We start from the raw sequence: 19,729 nt of genomic DNA on the forward strand, positions 1-19,729 counted from the left end.
CCCATCAGAGATTAAACTTGTAGGGTTCTTTCCATCCTCGCTTCTTTGCTGAGAGAAATTGCCACTGATGTCACAGTATGAAAAGCACCATGTCATCTCTTTTAGAAGGGAAGTGCCTGAGAAGTAATTTTTACTGTAAGAGGGAATAAAGGCCTTTTGTGAACTGAGGGTTACAGATGATTTGCTACCAGGCAGTGGTGGACAGGTAGGGAGGAAGTGGGATGAGGGCAGCAGGCCCCTGGTGGTGGCAGGGTGTGGCCCCTGGGGTGGCTGACCACCAGGAGGTGGGCCCTGGCGAGCCTGGAGTGAGTCAACGCTGGGGTGGGGAGGATGTCCTAGGAGAATCTGGACATGGGCAGAGAACTGGCTTTCCTACAGAGATGACACCTGTCTTTGGTTTTTTTTGTTTTTTGTTTGTTTTGTTTTGTTTTGAGACAGGGTCTCACTCTGTCACCCAGGCTGGAATGGAATGGCGTGATCTCAGCTCACTGCAACCTCTGCCTCCCAGGTTCAAGTGATTCTCATGCCTCAGCCTCCCAAGTAGCTGGGATTACAGGCATGCACCACGCCCAGCTAATTTTTTATATTATTTGTAGAGGTGGGGTTTCACCATGTTGGCCAGGCTGATCTCAAACTCCTGACCTCAGATGATTCACACACCTCAGCCTCCCAAAGTACTGGGATTACAGGCTTGAGCCACCTCGCCTGGCCTGACGACACCTGTCTACAGGAATGTGCAGGACCTACCTACAGGGTTAACCCTGTGTGGAGACAAGAATCAGTAACCCAGGTGACCCTGCCTGATCATAGGGCTTCCTTTCACTTGGGAAGCCCCTCCCATCATTTCCCACCTCCCACTTCAGACTGATGAGACTGGAATATGTGGCGTTACTTTGTGTACACTTCAGAGAGCCAGGAGAATTCTGGATCCTGTAGAAGTGAACCAACCACAAGCTACTCCACATTGTTAATTTAGGGATTCTGAGACCTCAAGTCAAGAAAGTTCTGATCGTGGGCACTGGGCAGACAGAGACAGTGGAAAAGAATTGGGAGCCCAGGCTATGACTTCAGACAGATGAGGAAGTTTTGTTTGTTTTATTTTTATTTACTTATTCTTTATTTTTATTTTTTGAGACAGGGTCTCGCTCAGCTGCCCAGGCTGGCATGCAGTGGCAAGTCATAGCTCACTGCACCCTTGACCTCCCAGACTCAAGTGATCCTCCTGCTTCAGTTTCCTGAGTAGCTGGGACTACAGGCGCACACCACCACACCCGGCTAATTTTTATTTTTAGCAGAGACAAGGTCTCAGTATGTTCCCCAGGCGAGTCTTAAACTCCTGAGCTCAAATGATTCTCCCGTCTTGGCCTCCCAAAGTGCTGGGATTACAGGTGTGAGCCGCTGTACCCGACCCACACAGGGTTTGAATCCCAGCCATGCTACTTCCTAGCTGATTTTCCCCAAATGTATAATGGGGACAATAACCCTCTAGAGAATTACAGGAGATCATGAGGAAAAAGCATTTCACACAAGGCCTAGTCAATACACAACAGCTGCCACTATGACTATGAACCGAAATTCATGATAAACTGCTTCTAACAATGCATGCTATACCCAACAAAGAATGTATGCAGGGGACGGGGTGCTAAAGACATTCCTGGGGGCAGGGACAAGCGGAAATGAATTATATTCATGCCTATTGGATATTTTCTTTGGATTTTGTATGCTGTTTCGATTTTTATAATTTTTTTTCTTAAGGAAAAAAACACATATTTTTTTCTTAAGGAAATAGACACTGGCCAGGCGTGGTGGCTCACGCCTGTAATCCTAGCACTTTGGGAGGCCGAGGCAGGGGGATCACCTGAGGTCAGGAGTTCGAAACCAGCCTGGCCAACATGGTGAAACCCCATCTCAATTAAAAATAAGAAATAAGCCAGGCATGGTAGTGCATGCCTGTAATCCCAGTTACTTGGGAGGCTGAGGCAGGAAAATCGCTTGAACTGGGGAGGCGGGGAGGCGGAGGTTGCAGTAGGCCGAGATTACACTATTCCACTCCAGCCTGGGCGACAAAAGTGAAACTCTGTCTCAAAAAAAAAAAAATAGACACTGTTGTTGCAAGCCTATGGGTTGCCTGAGGGCAAGTATGGGCTCCAGGTAGGTCTTTTGAGGAAAGGATCTTGTTTTTATCTTTCATGTAAAAGTTACTTTATCTTTCTCAATACCTCAGTGGTTTTGAACCCAAGCCTCTGGGAAATGTCCCAACCTCCTGTCCTCACTCAGTGCACCATACTACCAGGCTTAGAGGAGGCTCTTTCTCCTTATGGAGGACCAAGGAAAGGTGTTGTCAAGGTCTGCCATTATCCCATCTTTCCTCCTTCTCCATAATAGGAATATTAATGCAGAAAGAAATAATTGAAAGAGGAGCGGCCAGGCGCAGTGGCTCATGCCTGTGATCCCAGCACTTTGGGAGGCCAAGGAGGGCGGATCACCTGAGGAGTTCGAGAACAGCCTGGCCAACATGGTGAAACCCCGTCTCTACTAAAAATACAAAAATTAGCCAGGCGTGGTGGCAGGCACCTGTAGTCCCAGCTACTTGGGAGGCTGAGGCAGGAGAATTGCTTGAACCCAGGAGGCAGAGGTTATAGTGAGCCAAGATCATGCCGTTGCACTCTAGCTTGGGGGACAAGAGCAAGATTTCATCTCGAAAAAAAAGAAAGAGGAGCTAGAATAAGAAAATAAAAGCTGGAGAGAATGTGGAGAAATAGGAACGCTTTTACACTGTTGGTGGGAGTGTAAATTAGTTCAACCATTGTGGAAGTCAGTGTGGTGATTCTTCAAGGATCTAGAACTAGAAATATCATTTGACTCAGCAATCCCATTACTGGGTATATACCCAAAGGATTATAAATCATGTTACTGTAAAGACATATGCACACGTATGTTTATTGTGGCACTATTCACAATAGCAAAGACTTGGAACCCACCCAAATGTCCATCAATGATAGACTGGATTAAGAAAATGTGGCACATATACACCATGGAATACTATGCAGCCATAAAGAAGGATGAGTTCATGTCCTTTGCAGGGACATGGATGAAGCTGGAAACCATCATTCTCAGCAAACTATCACAAGGACAGAAAACCAAACACCACATGTTCTCACTCATAGGTGGGAATTGAACAATGAGATCACTTGGATACAGGGAGGGGAACATCACACACTGGGGCATGTCGGGGGGTTGGGGGTTAGGGAAGGGATAGCATTAGGAGAAATACCTAATGTAAATGATGAGTTTATGGGTGCAGCAAACCAACATGGCACATGTATACCTATGTATCAAACCTGCACATTGTGCACATGTACCCTAGAACTTAAAGTATAATAATAAAAAAAATAAAAATAACATTCTACTCTCCAGATATAGCTATTGTTAACATTTTGAGAAAATATCCTTCCAGATAGTTTTTCTCTTTCTTTCTTTCTTCCTTTCCTTTCTTTTCCTTTTTTAATTTAGAGACAAAGTCTCATTATGAGTCTCCCAAAGTGCTGAGAATACAGGCATGAGCCACTGTGCCCGGCCTCCAGATAGTTTTTCTATGTATACAAATTATGCACTTTCTTATTTAGAAAAATGATTTATGTTATTACAACTGTTAATAATACCTTTTCTCTTTTCTTAAGTATATTGTGATTCTCTTACCACATCATGAAATGTTCTTCTACATCACCATTAAAAATTCTTTTTTTTTTTTTTTTGAGACAGTGTCTTTCAAAAGTGCAGTTCTGAATCAAGGCAGCCTTGAAGTCTTGTTATTATGGCAAGCCCTCCAGTGCCAGGAGAACTGAGGTAGGAGTAAACTCAGATCAGCCTTTGAAATAGAATGTGTGAGGCCAGGTGCAGTGGCTCATGCCTGTAGTCTCAGCACTTTGGGAGACTGAGGTGGGTAGATCACTTGAGATCAGGAATTTGAGACCAGCCTGGTCAACATGGCGAAACCTCATCTCTAGTAAAAATTAAAAAAATTAGCTGGGCGTGGTGGCAAGTGCCTGTAATCCCAGCTACTTGGGAACCTGGGAACTGTGGAGGTTGCAGTGGCCCGAGATGGCGCCACTGCAGCTATTACTCCAGTTTGAAAATACTAGAAGTTGCCAATATATATTTTTTCCATTGCCAGACTTGTCTGCAATTTGTACTGGATCTGATAGAGAAACCATTTCCATGGGTCTATATGAAAATGTGGAGCCGGGGGTAGTGGCTCACGCCTGTAATCCCACAACTTCGGGAGGCCGAGGCAGGCAGATCACCTGAGGTCAGGAGTTCGAGACCAGCCTGGCCAATGGGGTGAAATCCCGTCTCTACTAAAAATACACAATTTAGCCAGGTGTGGTGGCACGTACCTGTAATCCCAGTTACTTGGGAGGGTGAGGCAGGAGAATCCCTTGAACCCAGGAGGTGGAGGTTTCAGTGAGCCGAGATAGCGCCACTGCACTCCAGCCTGGGCAACAGAGCGAGACTCCATCTCAAAAAAAAAAAAAAAAAAAGAGAGAGAAAGAAAATGTGGGTGCGGGGAATGATTCTATGGTTGTCTGTTCTTTTCCAGCTGGCCAGCAGTGGTAGCCAAAAAGTGACAGGATGCTGATGAAAAACATTGCAGACGTGAAGAAAAGAAAAAGTTGATGGAATTTTGCACATGTATCTGACAGTTCACCCATCCAAACTTTTATAAAGTGCTGTAAAGTTGTTGTAGTAAGGGTGGGGCATGGTGGTTCATGCTTGTAATCCTAGCACTTTTGGAGGCCACACGCAGGAGAATCGCTTGAGCCCAGGAGTTCAAAACCAGCCTGGGCAATATAGTGAGACTTCATCTCTATAAAAAAGTTAAAAACCTAGTAGTGTATGGTGGTTTGTGCCTGTGGTCCCAGCTACTAGAGAGGCTGAGGTGGAAAGATAGTTTGATTCTGGTAAGTGGAGATTGCAGTGAGCCAAGATGGTGCCACTGTGCTCTAGCTTGGGAGACAGAGCAAGATTCAGTATCAAACCTCCTAGCTAGAGGATGCTAGCTAGGTGACGCTGAGTCAATAAGGAAGGATTTGGTTACATCTTGGGACCTAAGGTACAGAGATGAATGTCCCAGCTCAAGGCTGCCCCAGCCATTCAACTCCTTGCTTCCTCTCTTGGTGGACCTGTCAATTCTTGCAAGTGTCAACCAGCTGTCTTGCCCACCTAGCCCTATAGTCATACCTTTCTATCCTTTTGGTGATCTCCACTCCATCAAGAAGTGGCTCTGCACATTCTATTTCAACTGACTTTTTTTTTTTTTTTTTGAGACAGAGTTTTGCTCTATCACCCAGGCTGGAGTGCAGTGGTGCAATCTTGGCTCACTGCAACCTCCACCTCCCGGGTTCAAACGATTCTTCTGCCTCAGCCCCTCAAGTAGCTGGAATTATAGGCACGCATCACCACACCCAGTTAAGTTTTTTGTATTTTTACTAGTGATGGGATTTCGCTGTGTTGGCCAGGCTGGTGTCAAACTCCTGACCTCGGGTGATCCGCCTGCCTCAGCCTTCCGAAGTGCTAGGATTACAGGCATGAGCCACCGCACCCAGCCTGCACGTTCTATTTCAAAGGCTGATCTAAGGTAACTCCTACTTCAGATCTCCTGGCACTGGAGGGCTTGCCGTAATATCAAGTCCCCAAGGCTCCCTTGATTCAGAAATCACTGAGGCAGCAGCACCTTGTACAGATATTTCTCAGCCTTCACTGTGCGTAAGAATTGCTCAGGGCCCTTGTTTAAAAAAAAAAAAATCAGCGTCCTGGACTTGAAACCCAGTAAGTCTGGAGTGGGGTCTAGGAATCAACGTTTAACAAAAGCAGGCATTTTTGGCCAGGCACAGTAGCTCACACCTGTAATCCCAGCACTTTGGGAGGCTGAGGCGGGAGGATCACTTGAGCTCAGGAGTTTAACACCAGCCTGGGCAACTAGACCCCTGTCTTTACAAATAAAAATAATTAGCCAGTCCTGATGGTGCACACCTGTGGTCCCAGCTACTCAGGAGCCTGAGGTGGGACGAGCACTTGAGCCCAGGAGTTTGAGGCTGCAATGAGCTATGATCACAGCACTCCACTCCAACCTGGGTGACAGAGTGAGGCCAGTCTCAAAAAAAAAAAGCAGGCATTTTTGATACAATATTTGTATGTATCTGCTTAAGACAGTCGGTTTGCTTCCAAAGACTAAATCAAACTTCCACCAAACTCCTTTTGGCATAGACTGAGTCCAGAGCAAGGAGATCAGATGGGTTTACATAGACAATGTAACAGTCAGATTTACCTCTTCTCTTTCCCAGCCAGCATGGGACGATGTGGGGGTGTGGGGGGGTGGGGGGGGCGGGGGAGTGGCAATCTACCAAATATCTCTCTTCTTACAGGAACTCACAGAGGAAGACAGATTGGTCGAACAAACCAGTATTATGCAAACCTCATCCAAACCCTCTGATTTCCTTAACTTGGCTAAGAAAAAGAGGAAGTTCTCCGAGTTACTCACCACTGTGGTTCTACTATGCCTTCTGACCCCGTCTTGGACTTCAACTGGGAGAATGTGGAGCCATTTGAACAGGCTCCTCTTCTGGAGCATATTTTCTTCTGTCACTTGTAAGCCCCCCTTATCATTCTGAGGCTCGAACCTCCAAGCCAACGTGTCATGTGGAAAGTGAGCTTTATCGTGTTCCTTTTCTGTTTCAGGTAGAAAAGCTGTATTGGATTGTGAGGCAATGAAAACAAATGGTAAGTTTCATTTACTTCTTTCTTATTGAAACCATTTTCACTGAAGTGGTGAGACAGTCTGATTGCAACATAAGCGTCCATTCAAAAGTGTTTCTGAGCTTTTATGAACAACCAAAGAACAGTCTTTTCAATTATCTATCATTTAAAATAAAATGATTTTAGGGAGGGGATTGCAGCATTTTTTTCTGAGACTCAGTGAGAAAAATAATGAAATTTGTTTTCACAATGAAAGTTTTCTAACTTTCCTTGTTATTGTTGTTTTATGGTTGTTGTGTTTTAACTAGAAAGCCAACACACAGGCTGGGTGTGGTGCCTCCGGCCTGTAATCGCAGCACTTTGGAAGGCTAATGGGGTAGGATTGCTTGAGCTCAGGAGTTTGAGACCAGCCTGAACAACATAGTGATACCTCGTTTCTTAAAAAAATAAAACAAAATAAAAAAACCCACAGAATTATTGTGAAATAATTCAAGCAACACTAGAAATATACATTGGGAAGTGGTCTAACCTCTGGTTCTACTAGTTACTAGCCAGCAGCCTGAGCTCATGACATACCCAGTTTGACCTTAATTTCTTTCTTTCTTTCTTTCTTTCTTTTTTTTTTTGAGATGGAGTCTCAGTCTGTCGCCCAGGCTGGAGTCAGTGGTGCAATCTCGGCTCACTGCAACCTCTGCCTCCCAGGTTCAAGTGATTCTCCTGCCTCAGCCTCCCGAGTAGCTGGGACTACAGGCGTGTGCCACCAAGCCTGGCTAATGTTTTGTATTTTTTGTAGAGACGGGGTTTCACATCGTTAGCCAGGATGGTCTCGATCTCCTGACCTCGTGATCCGCCCACCTTGGCCTCCCAAAGTGCTGGGATTACAGGCGTGAGACACTGTAATTTATTTCATCTGTGAAGTGGGCTAATAAAAGCACCTACCTGGTAGGCTAGTGTGCAGATCAAATGAGACAATCCCTGCTCCTCGTCACAGTGCCAGGCATATGGTAAACCATCCGTAAGTGATAGCCAAGGTGGTGGTTGTTACTGTATAAAATGTAAAAGTTCTGTTACAATCCTCCTCCAATTCTTCTCCCCTTCCTATCCAGAAGCAGCCGTTATCAACAGTCACTTTATATTCGTTATCTTTTTTTGTTTGTTTGTTTTTGAGACAGAGTTTCACTCTTGTTGCCCAGGCTGGAGTACAGTGGCACAATCTCGGCTCACTGCAACCTCCGCCTCCTGGGTTCAAGGGATCCTCCTGCCTCAGCCTCCCGAGTAGCTGGGATTACAGGCACGTGCCACCATGCCTGGGTAATTTTTGTATTGTTTTTTGGTAGAGACGGGGTGTCATCATGTTGGCCAGGCTGTTCTTGAACTCTTGACCTCGTGATCCTCCTGCCTCTGCCTCCCAAAGTGCTGGGGTTACAGGCATGAGCTACCACACCAGCCTTAGCTCCTCTTTTTCAACAGCTGCATGGTATTTTAAGACTCAGCCATGATTCGTTTAACCATCCTTATTTATTGCCCTGCTTTTTGGGGGCAATATAAACAATGCTACAATAAACATCCTTGTACACAACGTCCTTTGTGGATGCATGAGAGCTTGAAAGCATCTCTGTAGAATGAAATTCTAGAATTGAAATTGCAAGGTCATAGGGCATACACATTTAAATTGTTACAGACCCTGCTAAGTTGCCCTCCCAACAAGGCTGATCGTATCCTATCAGTCACCAACGGTGGGTGAGTTTCCCCACCCACTCCCCAGTGGTGGATATAATCACTTTTACTTTTAAATTTTATTTAGGGTTTTTTTTTTTCTTTCTTTCTTTGAGACAGAGTCTCTGCTCTGTCGCCCAGGCTGGAGTGCAGTGGTGCGATCTTAGCTTTCCGCAGCCTCGACCTTCCAAGCTCAATTGATCCTCCCACCTCAGCCTCCTGAGTAGTGCCATACAGGTACGCACCATCATGCCCAGCTAATTTTTGTATTTTTAGTAGAGACAGGGTTTCACCATTTGCCCAGGCTGGTCTCGAACTCCTGGACTCAAGAGATCTGCCTGCCTCAGCCTCCCAAATTGCTGGGATTACAGGCATGAGCCACCATGCCTGGCCAATCATTTTTAAACTTTGTACCAATCTGATGAGTGAAAAATGATATCTCAGTGTTGTTTTAATTTGCAGTTGCCTCATTACTTGTGAAGTTGAGCATCTTTTTCATGTTTACTGGCCACAAAAGCTCTAGCATTCCTAGATAAAAAAAACTTAGGGATGGCTATTTGGTTGGAAAGGTAGTTTAGGTCTTGTCTTAAAGTTGAGTTTATATGGCGGGGCACAGTGACTCACACCTGTAATCCCGGCACTTTGGGAGGCTGAAGCAGGCAGTCACTTGAGGTCAGGAGTTCAAGACGAGCCTGGACAACATGGTGAAACCCTGTCTCTACCAAAACTACAAAAATTAGCTGGGCATGGTGGTGTGTGCCTATAGTTCAGCTACTCAGGAGGCTGAGGCAGGAGGATCAGTTGAGCCTGGAAGGTGGAGGCTGTGGTGAGTCAAGATGGTGCCACTGCGCTCCAGCCTGGGCAACAGAGTGAGACTCTGTCTCAAAAAAAAAAAAAAGTTGAGCTTATATAAGACTGAGAAAATGTTAATTGTCCAGATCAAAGAGTGGGAGGAGAGTTTACTGCATTTTTAAAAGCATTTTTGAAGAGTCTAAATCTGTCTTCCACCCAAGCCATCCATTGGTCCCAGCTATGTTTTTTTTTTTTTTTGTTCTGTTTTGTTTTTTAAAAATTAGAGACGAGGTCTCACTTGTTGCCCAGGCTGTTCTCGAACTCCTGACCTCAAGTGACCCTCCCACCACAGCCTCCCAAAGTGCTAGGATTATAGGCGTCAACCACCACACCCAACTTCAAGAACTTTTTATTTATTATTATTTTTATTTTTTGAGGTAGTCTCACTCTGTCACCCAGCCTGGAGTGCAGTGGCATGATCTTGGCTCACTGCAACCTCCGCCTCCCTAGTTCAAGCAATTCTCCTGCCTCAGCCTCCTGAGTAGCTGGGATTACAGGTGCCCACCACCATGCCAGCTAATTTTTGTATTTTTAGTAGAGACAGGGTTTTGCCATGTTGCCCAGACTGGTATCAAACTCATGGCCTCAAGTGATCCACCTGCCTCGGCCGCCCAAAGTGCTGGGATTACAGGCGTGAACCACCTTGCCCGGCCAGGATCTTAAGAAGGACTTTTTCTTGTGTCATTTTGTTTTTCAGAATTCCCTTCTCCATGTTTGGACTCAAAGACTAAGGTGGTTATGAAGGGTCAAAATGTATCTATGTTTTGTTCCCATAAGAACAAATCACTGCAGATCACCTATTCATTGTTTCGACGTAAGACACACCTGGGAACCCAGGATGGAAAAGGTGAACCTGCGATTTTTAACCTAAGCATCACAGAAGCCCATGAATCAGGCCCCTACAAATGCAAAGCCCAAGTTACCAGCTGTTCAAAATACAGTCGTGACTTCAGCTTCACGATTGTCGGTAAGTAGAGTGCCTGTTCCTTGGAGCCCCTATAATTTATAGGGTGCTTTCTGGTTCTATGAGGGGCTCTCCATGATCCTTGTGAACACTTAAGAACCTGGAAAGTATGTTACTGCGAGCTTTATTCTTTTTTTATTTTTTATTTATTTTTAGACCTGGTCAACAGGAAGTATCTTTTAATTTTTTAATTTTTGAGATCTCTATTCTTTTTTTTTTTTTTGAAACAGAGTCTCACTCAGTTGCCCAGGCTGGAGTACAGTGGTGAAATCATGGTCCACTGCAAACTCCACCTCCTGGGTTCAAGGCATTCTCCTGCCTCAGCCTCCCAAGTAGCTGGGATTACAGGCACCCATCACCACGCCTGGCTAATTTTTGTATTTTTACTTGAGACGAGGTTTCACCATGTTGGTCAGGCTGGTCTCGAACTCCTGACCTCAGGTGATCCGCCTGCCTCAGCCTCCCAAAATGCTGGGATTACAGATGTAAGCCACCATGCCCAGTGAGTTCTCTATTCTTAATCATTCCGTTTCACCTTCTCTTTCAAAGACTTTCGACCATGTCAGATAATAGTCTTATATCTTTAGGCAAAAGTCTTATATCTCAACAATAATTGTGGAGGTCTTTTCTAGAAACTTTATTCTGTGATTCCCATTGTGTGGGCAAAAATCGCTTTTTTTTTTTTTTTTTTTTTCTGAAGCCTTGGGCCCCTTGGAGAGGGTCTTCAAAGCCTCACGCCTTTCCCACCGCTTCCTTAGTGTCAGGGGCCCCATCCGCTAGCACTCTTCCTGCCTAGCCACATCTCACTACTTCTGTGTTTTTCTGTCCCATTTTCCTACCCCAAGCCTGTTACTGCCTAGCATTAAGGGCCTCATCCGTGAAGGTGACCTTGATAATGGACTCCTGTGGGAGGAGAGAAGGCTTCTAGGTAACACATGTATGTTATACCTGGAGTCTTCAAAGCGTAGGGACCCTGACTTCCTGATAACTCTTGAGTGGTCCTCTATGTCTATGCTATCCAGTACGGTACTGTTTAAACTTATTTGTTTATTTTGTTTTATTTTATTTCTTTTTTTCTTTTTTTGAGATGGAGTCTCGCCCTGTCACCCAGGCTGGAGTGCAGTGGTGCGATCTCAGCTCACTTCAACCTCCGCCTTTCGAGTTCAAGCAATTCTCCCACCTCAGCCTCCCGAGTAGCTAGGATTACAGGCATGCACCACCATGCCCAGCTAATTTTTGTATTTTTAATAGAGATGGGGTTTCACCATGTTGACCAGGCTGGTCTTAACTCCTGACCTCAGGTGATCCACCCACCTCAGCCTCCCAAAGTGCTGGGATTACAGGCGTGTGCCACTGCTCCTGGCCAACGTTTATTTATTTAATAGCCTATGTCACCCAGGCTGGAGTGCAGAGGCTACTCACAGGCAATCAAAGCCCATTGCAGCCTCAAACTCCTGTTCTTAAGAGATCCTCCCACCTCAGCATCCTGAATAGCTTGGATTACAAGCACGTGCCATAATTAAAATCAAGTCAATTAAAATTAGATGAAATAAAAAATTTCCCTCCACAGTCTCAGTTACATTTCAAGGCTTTGATAGCCACACCTGTAGCTGGTGGCTGCCACATTGGACAACACAGATGTAGACCATTCCCATCATCACAGAAAGTTCTACTGGGTGACATTGCTGTAGCTCAGTGATTCTTAGCTTTTTAGGTTATAACTGTCTTAATAATCCAATGATAGCAATGAATATCTTCTCCAGAGAAATGCTCATAAAACTACGTATACAAATTTCTGCATAAGGTTTTAGAGAATGCTACGGACTCCAGGTTAGAACCAATTATCTTGGCCAGGTGCGCTGTCTCACAGGTGTAATCCCAGCACTTTGTGAGGCTGAGGCGGGAGGATCACCTGAGCCCAGGAGTTTGAGACCAGCCTGGGAACTATGTGGAGACTGTGTGTCTACAAAAAGTTAAAAAATATATATATGTAGCTGAGCGTGGTGGCGTGCCTATAGTGCCAACTACTCAGGAGGCTGAGTTGGGAGGATTGCCTCAGCCCAGGAGTTCAAGGCTGCAGTGAGCTGTGATTGCACCACTGCACTGCAGCCTGGGTGACAGAGAGAGACCCTGTCTCAAGAAAAAAAAAATCCCAATGATCTTTGGACATAAACTGAGTATATTCCTTGTGAAAGGAAAAGGAAGAAGGAGGGGGAAAATCCCTGCAAACATGGTACTGGAATACGATGGATATGTGAGGGCAGGAACACAGCTGATGGTATTCTCTAGTGGTCAGACTCCTGCTGCACTCAGCAATAAGCCCATCAGTTCATATGTTTTTTGTGCACGACCTTCCTGCAATTTGTTAGGGTAATTACACAGTCTGGTAATAAAACTATCTTGGTAGATTATAAAACTGTATCATCTTCAGTTAGGCCAGATCAATAGGCACTACGGAGTACCTACTCCATGCAAGCAATTGTACTACTGGGTTTTTAATGAGGCCTAAAACATAGTGTTGTCTCCAACCCAGTAAGGGTTGAAACTATGAGCCATAAACACAAATTCATTAATCACTGATTCACTCATCAAAAAAAAATTTTTTTTTTGAGATGGATCTTGCTCTGTCACTCAGGCTGGAGTGCAGTGGCACCATCTCGGCTCACTGCAAGCTCTGCCTCCCGGGTTCACACAATTCTCCTGCCTCAGCCTCCCGAGTAGGTGGGACTACAGGCGCCTGCCACCACGCCTGGCTAATTTTTTTTTTTTTGTATTTTTAGTAGAGACGGGGTTTCACCATGTTAGCCAGGATGGTCTCAATCTCCTGACCTCGTGATCTGCCCACCTCGGCCTCCCAAAGTGCTCACTCATCAAATGTTTAAAGAGAACACAGGGCCGGCTGCAGTGGCTCACGCCTGTAATCCCAGCACTTTGGGAGGTTGAGTGGGGGCAGATCACTTGAGGTCAGTAGTTCAAGACCAGTCTGGCCAACATGGTGAAACCCTGTCTGTACTAAAAATACAAAAATTAGCTAGGCATGGTGGTGGGCACCTGTAATCCCCAGCTACTTGGGAGGCTGAGGCAGGAGAATTGCTTGAACCTGGGAGGTAGAGGTTGCAATGAGCTGAGATCGTGGCACTGCACTCCAGGTTGGGTGACAGAGTGAGACTCCGTCTCAAAACAGAAAAGAAAGTAAATAAAAAAAAAATTGTTTTTAAGTGTGGACTCTTGAAGTCAGTCCCAACTCGGCCATTTACTAGCTGTGTGACCTTGGGCAAATTTCTCAATCTCTCTGAAGCACAGTTGGTTCATCTGTGGAATGGGCATGATACTATCCACACTACAAGACTGTCGTGAAGGTCAAATGAGATCATGTGACTGGCACGCCTGGCACATGATAGATACTTAACAGCTTTTCTTCCTTTCCTATAATACTGTCTTATTAATGCATTATATATATATATAATAAAATGTATAGCTGGGTTTTTCTGTTAGGTCATAGAATAGGCTATGATCTAACAGAGTGTAGCAGACCCATTTCCTGTTGAGAATTTCTCTTGAATCTAGTTAGCAGGGTTACTTCCTGCTCTTTGGAGGAAGTGAAAGATAATTGTGCAGCTGAGTTCTATAAATAAAAGTACAGTTGGAGAAAACGATATTTTTGGGGCTGGGCATGGTGGCTCACACCTGAAATCCCGGCACTTTGGGAGGCTGAGGTGGGAAAATCACTTGAAGCCAAGAGTTTGAGACCAGCCCGGGCAACATAGTGAGACTCTGTCTCTACAAAACATTTAAAAATTAGCCAGCAGTGTGCACCTGTAGTCCCAGCTACAGAGGCTGAGGCAGGAGGATCACTTGAGCCTGGGAGTTTGAGGTTACAGTGAGCTATAATTGTGCCACTTCACTCCAGCATGGTTGAAAGAGCAAAACCCTGTCTCTGAATAAATAAATACATTGAAAAGAAAATGATATTTTTGGATTAAAAAAACCCACTGTAAATTTACAAGGATTGAGAATAAAAGCACTTCTTGGGCCGGGTGTGGTGGCTCCTGCCTGTAACCACAGCACTTTGGGAATTCAAGGTGGGAGGATCACTTGAGGCCAGGAGTTCAAGACCAACCTGGCCAACATGGTAAGGCCCTATGTCTATAAAAAATAAACATAAAAAAGCACTTCTCAGCTTCATACTTAGAACTGGATCATTGACAAAATTATATTCATTATTAACAATAAATAGATTGTGAATTCTAGGAAGGGCAAGCTTGCACCCCAATTCCTCAAAGCAGAGAGATGCCCTCCACTCTCTGGCTTTCTCAGCACTCAGCTGAGAACCTCGGCTAACAACACACTGCACGGGGTTGGCCACATGCCCATTGGCCTTTCCCAGTGGGCCGTGAGCTTCTTGACTTCTCAGGAAGGGGGTCGTTCATCTTGGTTCCACAGCCTGGAGTGGAGTAAGGGTTCCACTCATATTTGTGGTCTGAGTGAGCACACCCAGTCTGTTTATCCTTTTCATGTTCACTTTCATTCTTCCAGACCCGGTGACTTCCCCAGTGCTGAACATTATGGTCATTCAAACAGAAACAGACCGACATATAACATTACATTGCCTCTCAGTCAATGGCTCGCTGCCCATCAATTACACTTTCTTTGAAAACCATGTTGCCATATCACCAGCTATTTCCAAGTATGACAGGGAGCCTGCTGAATTTAACTTAACCAAGAAGAATCCTGGAGAAGAGGAAGAGTATAGGTGTGAAGCTAAAAACAGATTGCCTAACTATGCAACATACAGTCACCCTGTCACCATGCCCTCAACAGGTAAGAGCAACCTGAGTTCTTTCAGCCAGGTCTGAACTCACTTCCAGAAACTGCAGCTGCTCCTCTGCCCACCCATTTCCCACCATGGCCACCTGACCTTCCAGGTCCTTCTGAAGGTGCATTTGTCAAGGTAGAAGGATAGAAGGAAAACTAGGTCGTGTGCAGTGGCTCACACCTGTAATCCCAGCACTTTGGAAGGTTGTGGCTGGCAGATCACTTGAAGGGTCTCTTTGGTAGAGTCCATGCAAACTCTCATGGGGTTGCTTTCTGCCATAAAGGAACCACAGAAAGGCCTAGAAACTGGAGCAGGAGGGGGACTTGTGGCAAAACTTTCTGCCCTGCCTTTCCAATTTGCATCTGTCTTAGAACTGCCAGGTCTTTTAGTTTTCTTTGTTTTTTCATCATTTGTATGTCTGCCTTTCTTTCTTTTCCTTCCTTCCTTCCTTCCTTCTTGTATGCCTGCCTTTCTTTCCCTTCCTTCCTTCCTTCCCTCCTTCCTTCCTTCCTTCTTTCCTTCCTTCCTTCCTTCTTTCTTTTCTTTTCTTTTTTTCAGAGTGTCACTCTGTTGCCCAGGCTGGAGTGCAGTGGTGTGATCTCAGCTCATTGCAACCTTTGCCTCCCAGGTTCTAGAGATTCTTGTGCCTCAGCCTCCTGAGTAGCTGGGACTACAGGCACCCGCCACCACGCTTGGCTAATTTTTGTATTTTCAGTAGAGACGGGTTTTCACCATGTTGGCCAGACTGGTCTCGAACTCCTGGCCCCAAGCGATCTGCCCACCTCGGCCTCCCAAAATGCTGGGATAACAGCTGTGAGCCACTGTGCCTGGCCATCTTGTACTGATTTCTAATACCATGCCCTCCTGCTTGGCTGTTTATTGCTCCACTGCTAATGATGATGGGTCCAGACTCCTGCACCACCCTTGGCTCAGGGCAAGAGAGGCCTCTGGCCAAGCCCTGTGTTTAGTGGGCTCTGGTCTGGTACCTCCAGGCTATGCACCTTCCCCTAGGCTGAGGGGTTCAGGGAGCCGTGGGGATGCAGCCACCTGAACCCTATACTCCCACTTTTCTGCTCCACACTCTAGGTACCTGGACCAAAATCCCCTGCCCAATCAGATCAGAAGCCATTTCCAGGGCCTGTACCAGTCTCTCCCCCAGCTCATCCTCCCGAGGGTGGCCCACAGTAAGGGTATGAGCATCCCTGAACCTGAGCCAAGGGAGCTGTTTATGGGGGGTGTGGATGGTGTTTGCACATGTGGGCTGGGGCGTCCACGTGCATGCAAGGCCCCTTAGGGTGCAGGTCAGAGCCCAGGTCGGGAGCGGGGCAGCCCGGGACTTCAGTGGGTTCTGTCCATGCTGCCACGTCCTGATGCCAAACTCTGGAAAGTCTGAGAATTCCAGATTCAAACCTGACCTTCCAGGTCCTTCTGAAGGTGCATTTGTCAAGGTAGGAGGATAGAAGGAAAACTAGGTCGTGTGCAGTGGCTCACACCTGTAATTCCAGCATTTTGGAAGGTTGTGGCTGGCAGATCACTTGAGCCCAGGAGTTTGAGACCAGCCTGGGTAACATGGCAAAACCCCTGTCTCTACAGAAAATAAAAAAATTAGCCGGGTGTGGTGGTGCATGCCTGTGGTCTCAGCTACTCAGAGGATGAGGTAGGAGGATTGCTTGAGCCTGAGAGGTCGAGGCTGCAGTGAGCTGTGATCATCGTGCCCTGCATTCCAGCCTGCGTAACAGAGCGAGACCCTGTCTCAAAGAAAAAAGAAAAAGAAAAAGAAAGAAAAGAAAAACTAGGTTAGCAAAGGCACAAGGCACACTTGGACATTGACCACTTCACCCAGCCAGGTCCTCAGAACAGAGCCCACGCCCTGGTATTCAGTGAGTGTGGTCTAACAAGTGAGGCAGCCTGCTGGAGTCAGGCACTTGGCTATGAGTCACAGCCCTTCCATTCACTGGCTGTGTGACCTTAGGAAAGTCATTTCACCTCCCTGAGCCTTACTCACCTCATCTATAAAATGGGAGTGATGCCAATGGGATAAATAAGGCAACACAGGTGAAGTGCCTAACACAGTGTCTGGCCTGCAGCTAAAACTCAACAACTGGCAGTTGTTTGGATGACACGAAACATGCTGCCAGGGCTCAGGGCCTTGCCCAGTAAACACCCAGGCTTTTCTGGTGCTCATGACCCCAGAAATGTTGCTGGTATTCGTCCTGTTAAATTCTGTGCTGCTTTTCTCTTCTTTGGGTGGCCCCTGTGGAAGATGTGCTTGGTCATGACTTTTTAAACTTTATTATTTTTATTTTATTTTATTTTATTTATTTATTTATTTATTTATTTATTTATTTATTTATTTATTTATTTATTTGAGATGGAGTCTCACTCACCCAGTCTGGAGTGCAATGGCACGATCTCGGCTCATTGCAACCTCCGCCTCCTGGGTTCAAGCGATTCTCATGCCTCAGCCTCCCAAGTAGCTGGAAATACAGGCACGCGCCACCAGGCCCAGCTAATTTTTATATTTTGGGTAGAGACAGGGTTTCACCATGTTGGCCAGGCTGGTCTCAAACTCCTGACCTCAGGTGATCTACCTGCCTTGGCCTCCCAGAGTGCTAGGATTACAGGTGTAAGCCACTGAGCTCAACCTATTTTTGTTTATTTATTAACTTATTTATAGAGACAGGGTCTGGTTCTGTCCCTCAGGCTGGAGTGCAGTGGCACAATCATAGCTCACTGCAGTCTCCACCTCCCGGGCTCAAGCGATCACCCTGCCTCAGCCTCCTGAGTAGCTGGGATCATAGGCACATGCCATCACACCTGGCTAATTTTTATTTATTTATTTATTTTGTAGAAACAGGGCCTCACTATGTTGCCCAGGCCGGTCTCAAACTCCTGGCCTCAGGCAATCCTCCCACCTTGATCTCCGAAAGTGCTGGGATTACAGGTGTGAGCCACCACGCCCAGTCAAGAACTTTATTGACTAATAAGTCCCGTGAGTTTTAGATGTCATGACCATTTGGGAACCTGGGTGCATAGTACATTGGTTAACTTGGGAGACATCACCTTTTCTAAAACACTTACTGGCTTAATGTCATTGGAAAAGAAAATGCTATGGTCACCAATGGATGCGGTCTTCTTCCAGGCGGAGACAGCTGTCCTTTCTGTCTGAAGCTACTACTTCCAGGGTTATTACTGTTGCTGGTGGTGATAATCCTAATTCTGGCTTTTTGGGTACTGCCCAAATACAAAACAAGTAAGTTCTTTTAGTCGCTTTACCACCCGTTTTCCCGTGGGCTTGGGATACAGACAGCAGGACAGAGGGTGAGGAGAAAGAGAAAAGGGGATTGGAAATAGAATAGGGAGAAAATGAAAATAGGAGGAAAACATGAGAAAGGGGGGCGGGAATGGAATAGACTTCCTGAACGGTTCATGCAGAGGGTAATTCTTTCTCCAGGGAAAGCCTTTTCTGTTTGAGGGCAAGCAGAGCTGGCTTCACAGACGTACAGCCTGTGCTGTCACACAGGGCCCTGTGCCAAGAAGAACTCCACATTTGGTATTTGTTTATTTATTTATTTATTTATTTTTGAGACAGAGTTTTGCTCTTGTTCCCCAGGCTGGAGTGCAGTGGTACGATCTCGGCTCACTGCAGCTTCCGCCTCCTGGGTTCAAGCAATTCTCCTGCCTCAGCCTCCCAAGAAGCTGGGATTACAGGTTTCCGCCACCATACCCAGCTAATTTTTTGTATTTTTAGTAGAGACAGGGTTTCACCATGTTGGCCAGGCTGGTCCCGAACTCCCAGCCTCAGGTGATCCACCTGCCTCAGTTTCCCAAAGTGCTGGGATTACAGGTGTGAGCCACTGCTCCCGGCTGCATCTTGAAATTCTTCATAATTTTTTGTACGCTCTTTTAAAAATTGTTAATGGTGGTAAAATATACATAACACTAAATGGGCCACTTTAACCTGCTTAAATGCATAGTTCGGTGGCATTAAGCACGTTCCCATTGTCATGCACCCTTCTCCACCATCCATGTCCAGAACTTTTTCATCTTCCCAAACTGAAACTCTGTCCCCATTACACACTAGCTCCCCATCCCCTCTTCCCCCGGGCTCTGCCAACCACCATTCTGCTTTCTATCTCCATTAGTTTGACTCCTCTAGGCACCTCATGGAAGTGGAAGCATTTATCCTTTCATAACTGGCTTATTTCACTTCGATTAATGTCCTCAAGGTTCATCCATGTTGTCATATGTGTCAGAATTTCCTTCCTTGATAAGACTGAAGAATGTCCCATTGTACATAAATACGCCACACTTTGTTTATCCATTTATCCCCCATGGGTACCCGGGTTGCTTCCACCTTTTGTCTATTGTTTAATAATGCTAGGAACGTGGGTGTGAAATTATTAATGTTTTTAAACAAGAGGCCCTTTTCCTCGTATGACTGCTTGTGAAAGATGTACTCGGTCCTGACTTTAAGAACTTGTGTTCCTTTTTTTCTCTCTCTCTCTCTTCTTTTTTTATTCTATATTAAATGGAGACGGGGCCTCACTATGTTGCCCAGGCTGGTCTCGAACACTTGGGCTCAAACAATCCTCCCACCTCGGCCTCCCACAGTGTTGGGATTA

The 19,729-nt window shown here is 45.9% G+C and overlaps 1 protein-coding gene across 13 annotated transcripts in view, besides 2 other annotated features; it reads left to right on the forward strand.

Moving 5' to 3' along the window:
- Positions 6,403 to 6,452: a silencer, noted in NCBI's record as "silent region_8842". NCBI's record gives its function as "represses an Ori minimal core promoter by ATAC-STARR-seq in GM12878 lymphoblastoid cells {active_cell/tissue: GM12878}" and the evidence as "EXISTENCE:reporter gene assay evidence [ECO:0000049][PMID:35858748]".
- Positions 6,540 to 19,729, forward strand: part of MILR1 (mast cell immunoglobulin like receptor 1) — a 48,242-nt gene continuing 35,052 nt past the window's right edge. For 9 of the 13 annotated variants that reach the window (XR_002957990.2, XR_002957989.2, XM_024450708.2 and 6 more), the window contains exons 1-5: positions 6,540 to 6,648; positions 6,739 to 6,780; positions 10,022 to 10,291; positions 14,825 to 15,109; positions 18,247 to 18,357. Coding sequence is in view for 11 of the 13 variants with exons in the window: in XM_024450708.2 (XP_024306476.2) it covers positions 6,594 to 6,648; positions 6,739 to 6,780; positions 10,022 to 10,291; positions 14,825 to 15,109; positions 18,247 to 18,357 (763 nt within the window). In the remaining 2 variants the exon portion in view is untranslated. The remainder of the gene's footprint in view (positions 6,649 to 6,738; positions 6,781 to 10,021; positions 10,292 to 14,824; positions 15,110 to 18,246; positions 18,358 to 19,729) is intronic. The other 4 variants (NM_001291316.2, XM_047435792.1, XM_047435793.1 and 1 more) reach the window with 2 other exon arrangements.
- Positions 14,771 to 14,830: an enhancer, noted in NCBI's record as "active region_12592". NCBI's record gives its function as "activates an Ori minimal core promoter by ATAC-STARR-seq in GM12878 lymphoblastoid cells {active_cell/tissue: GM12878}" and the evidence as "EXISTENCE:reporter gene assay evidence [ECO:0000049][PMID:35858748]".

This window comes from Homo sapiens, chromosome 17 (assembly GCF_000001405.40).
Source record: "Homo sapiens chromosome 17, GRCh38.p14 Primary Assembly".
In the NCBI taxonomy this organism is placed as follows: Eukaryota; Metazoa; Chordata; class Mammalia; order Primates; family Hominidae; genus Homo; species Homo sapiens.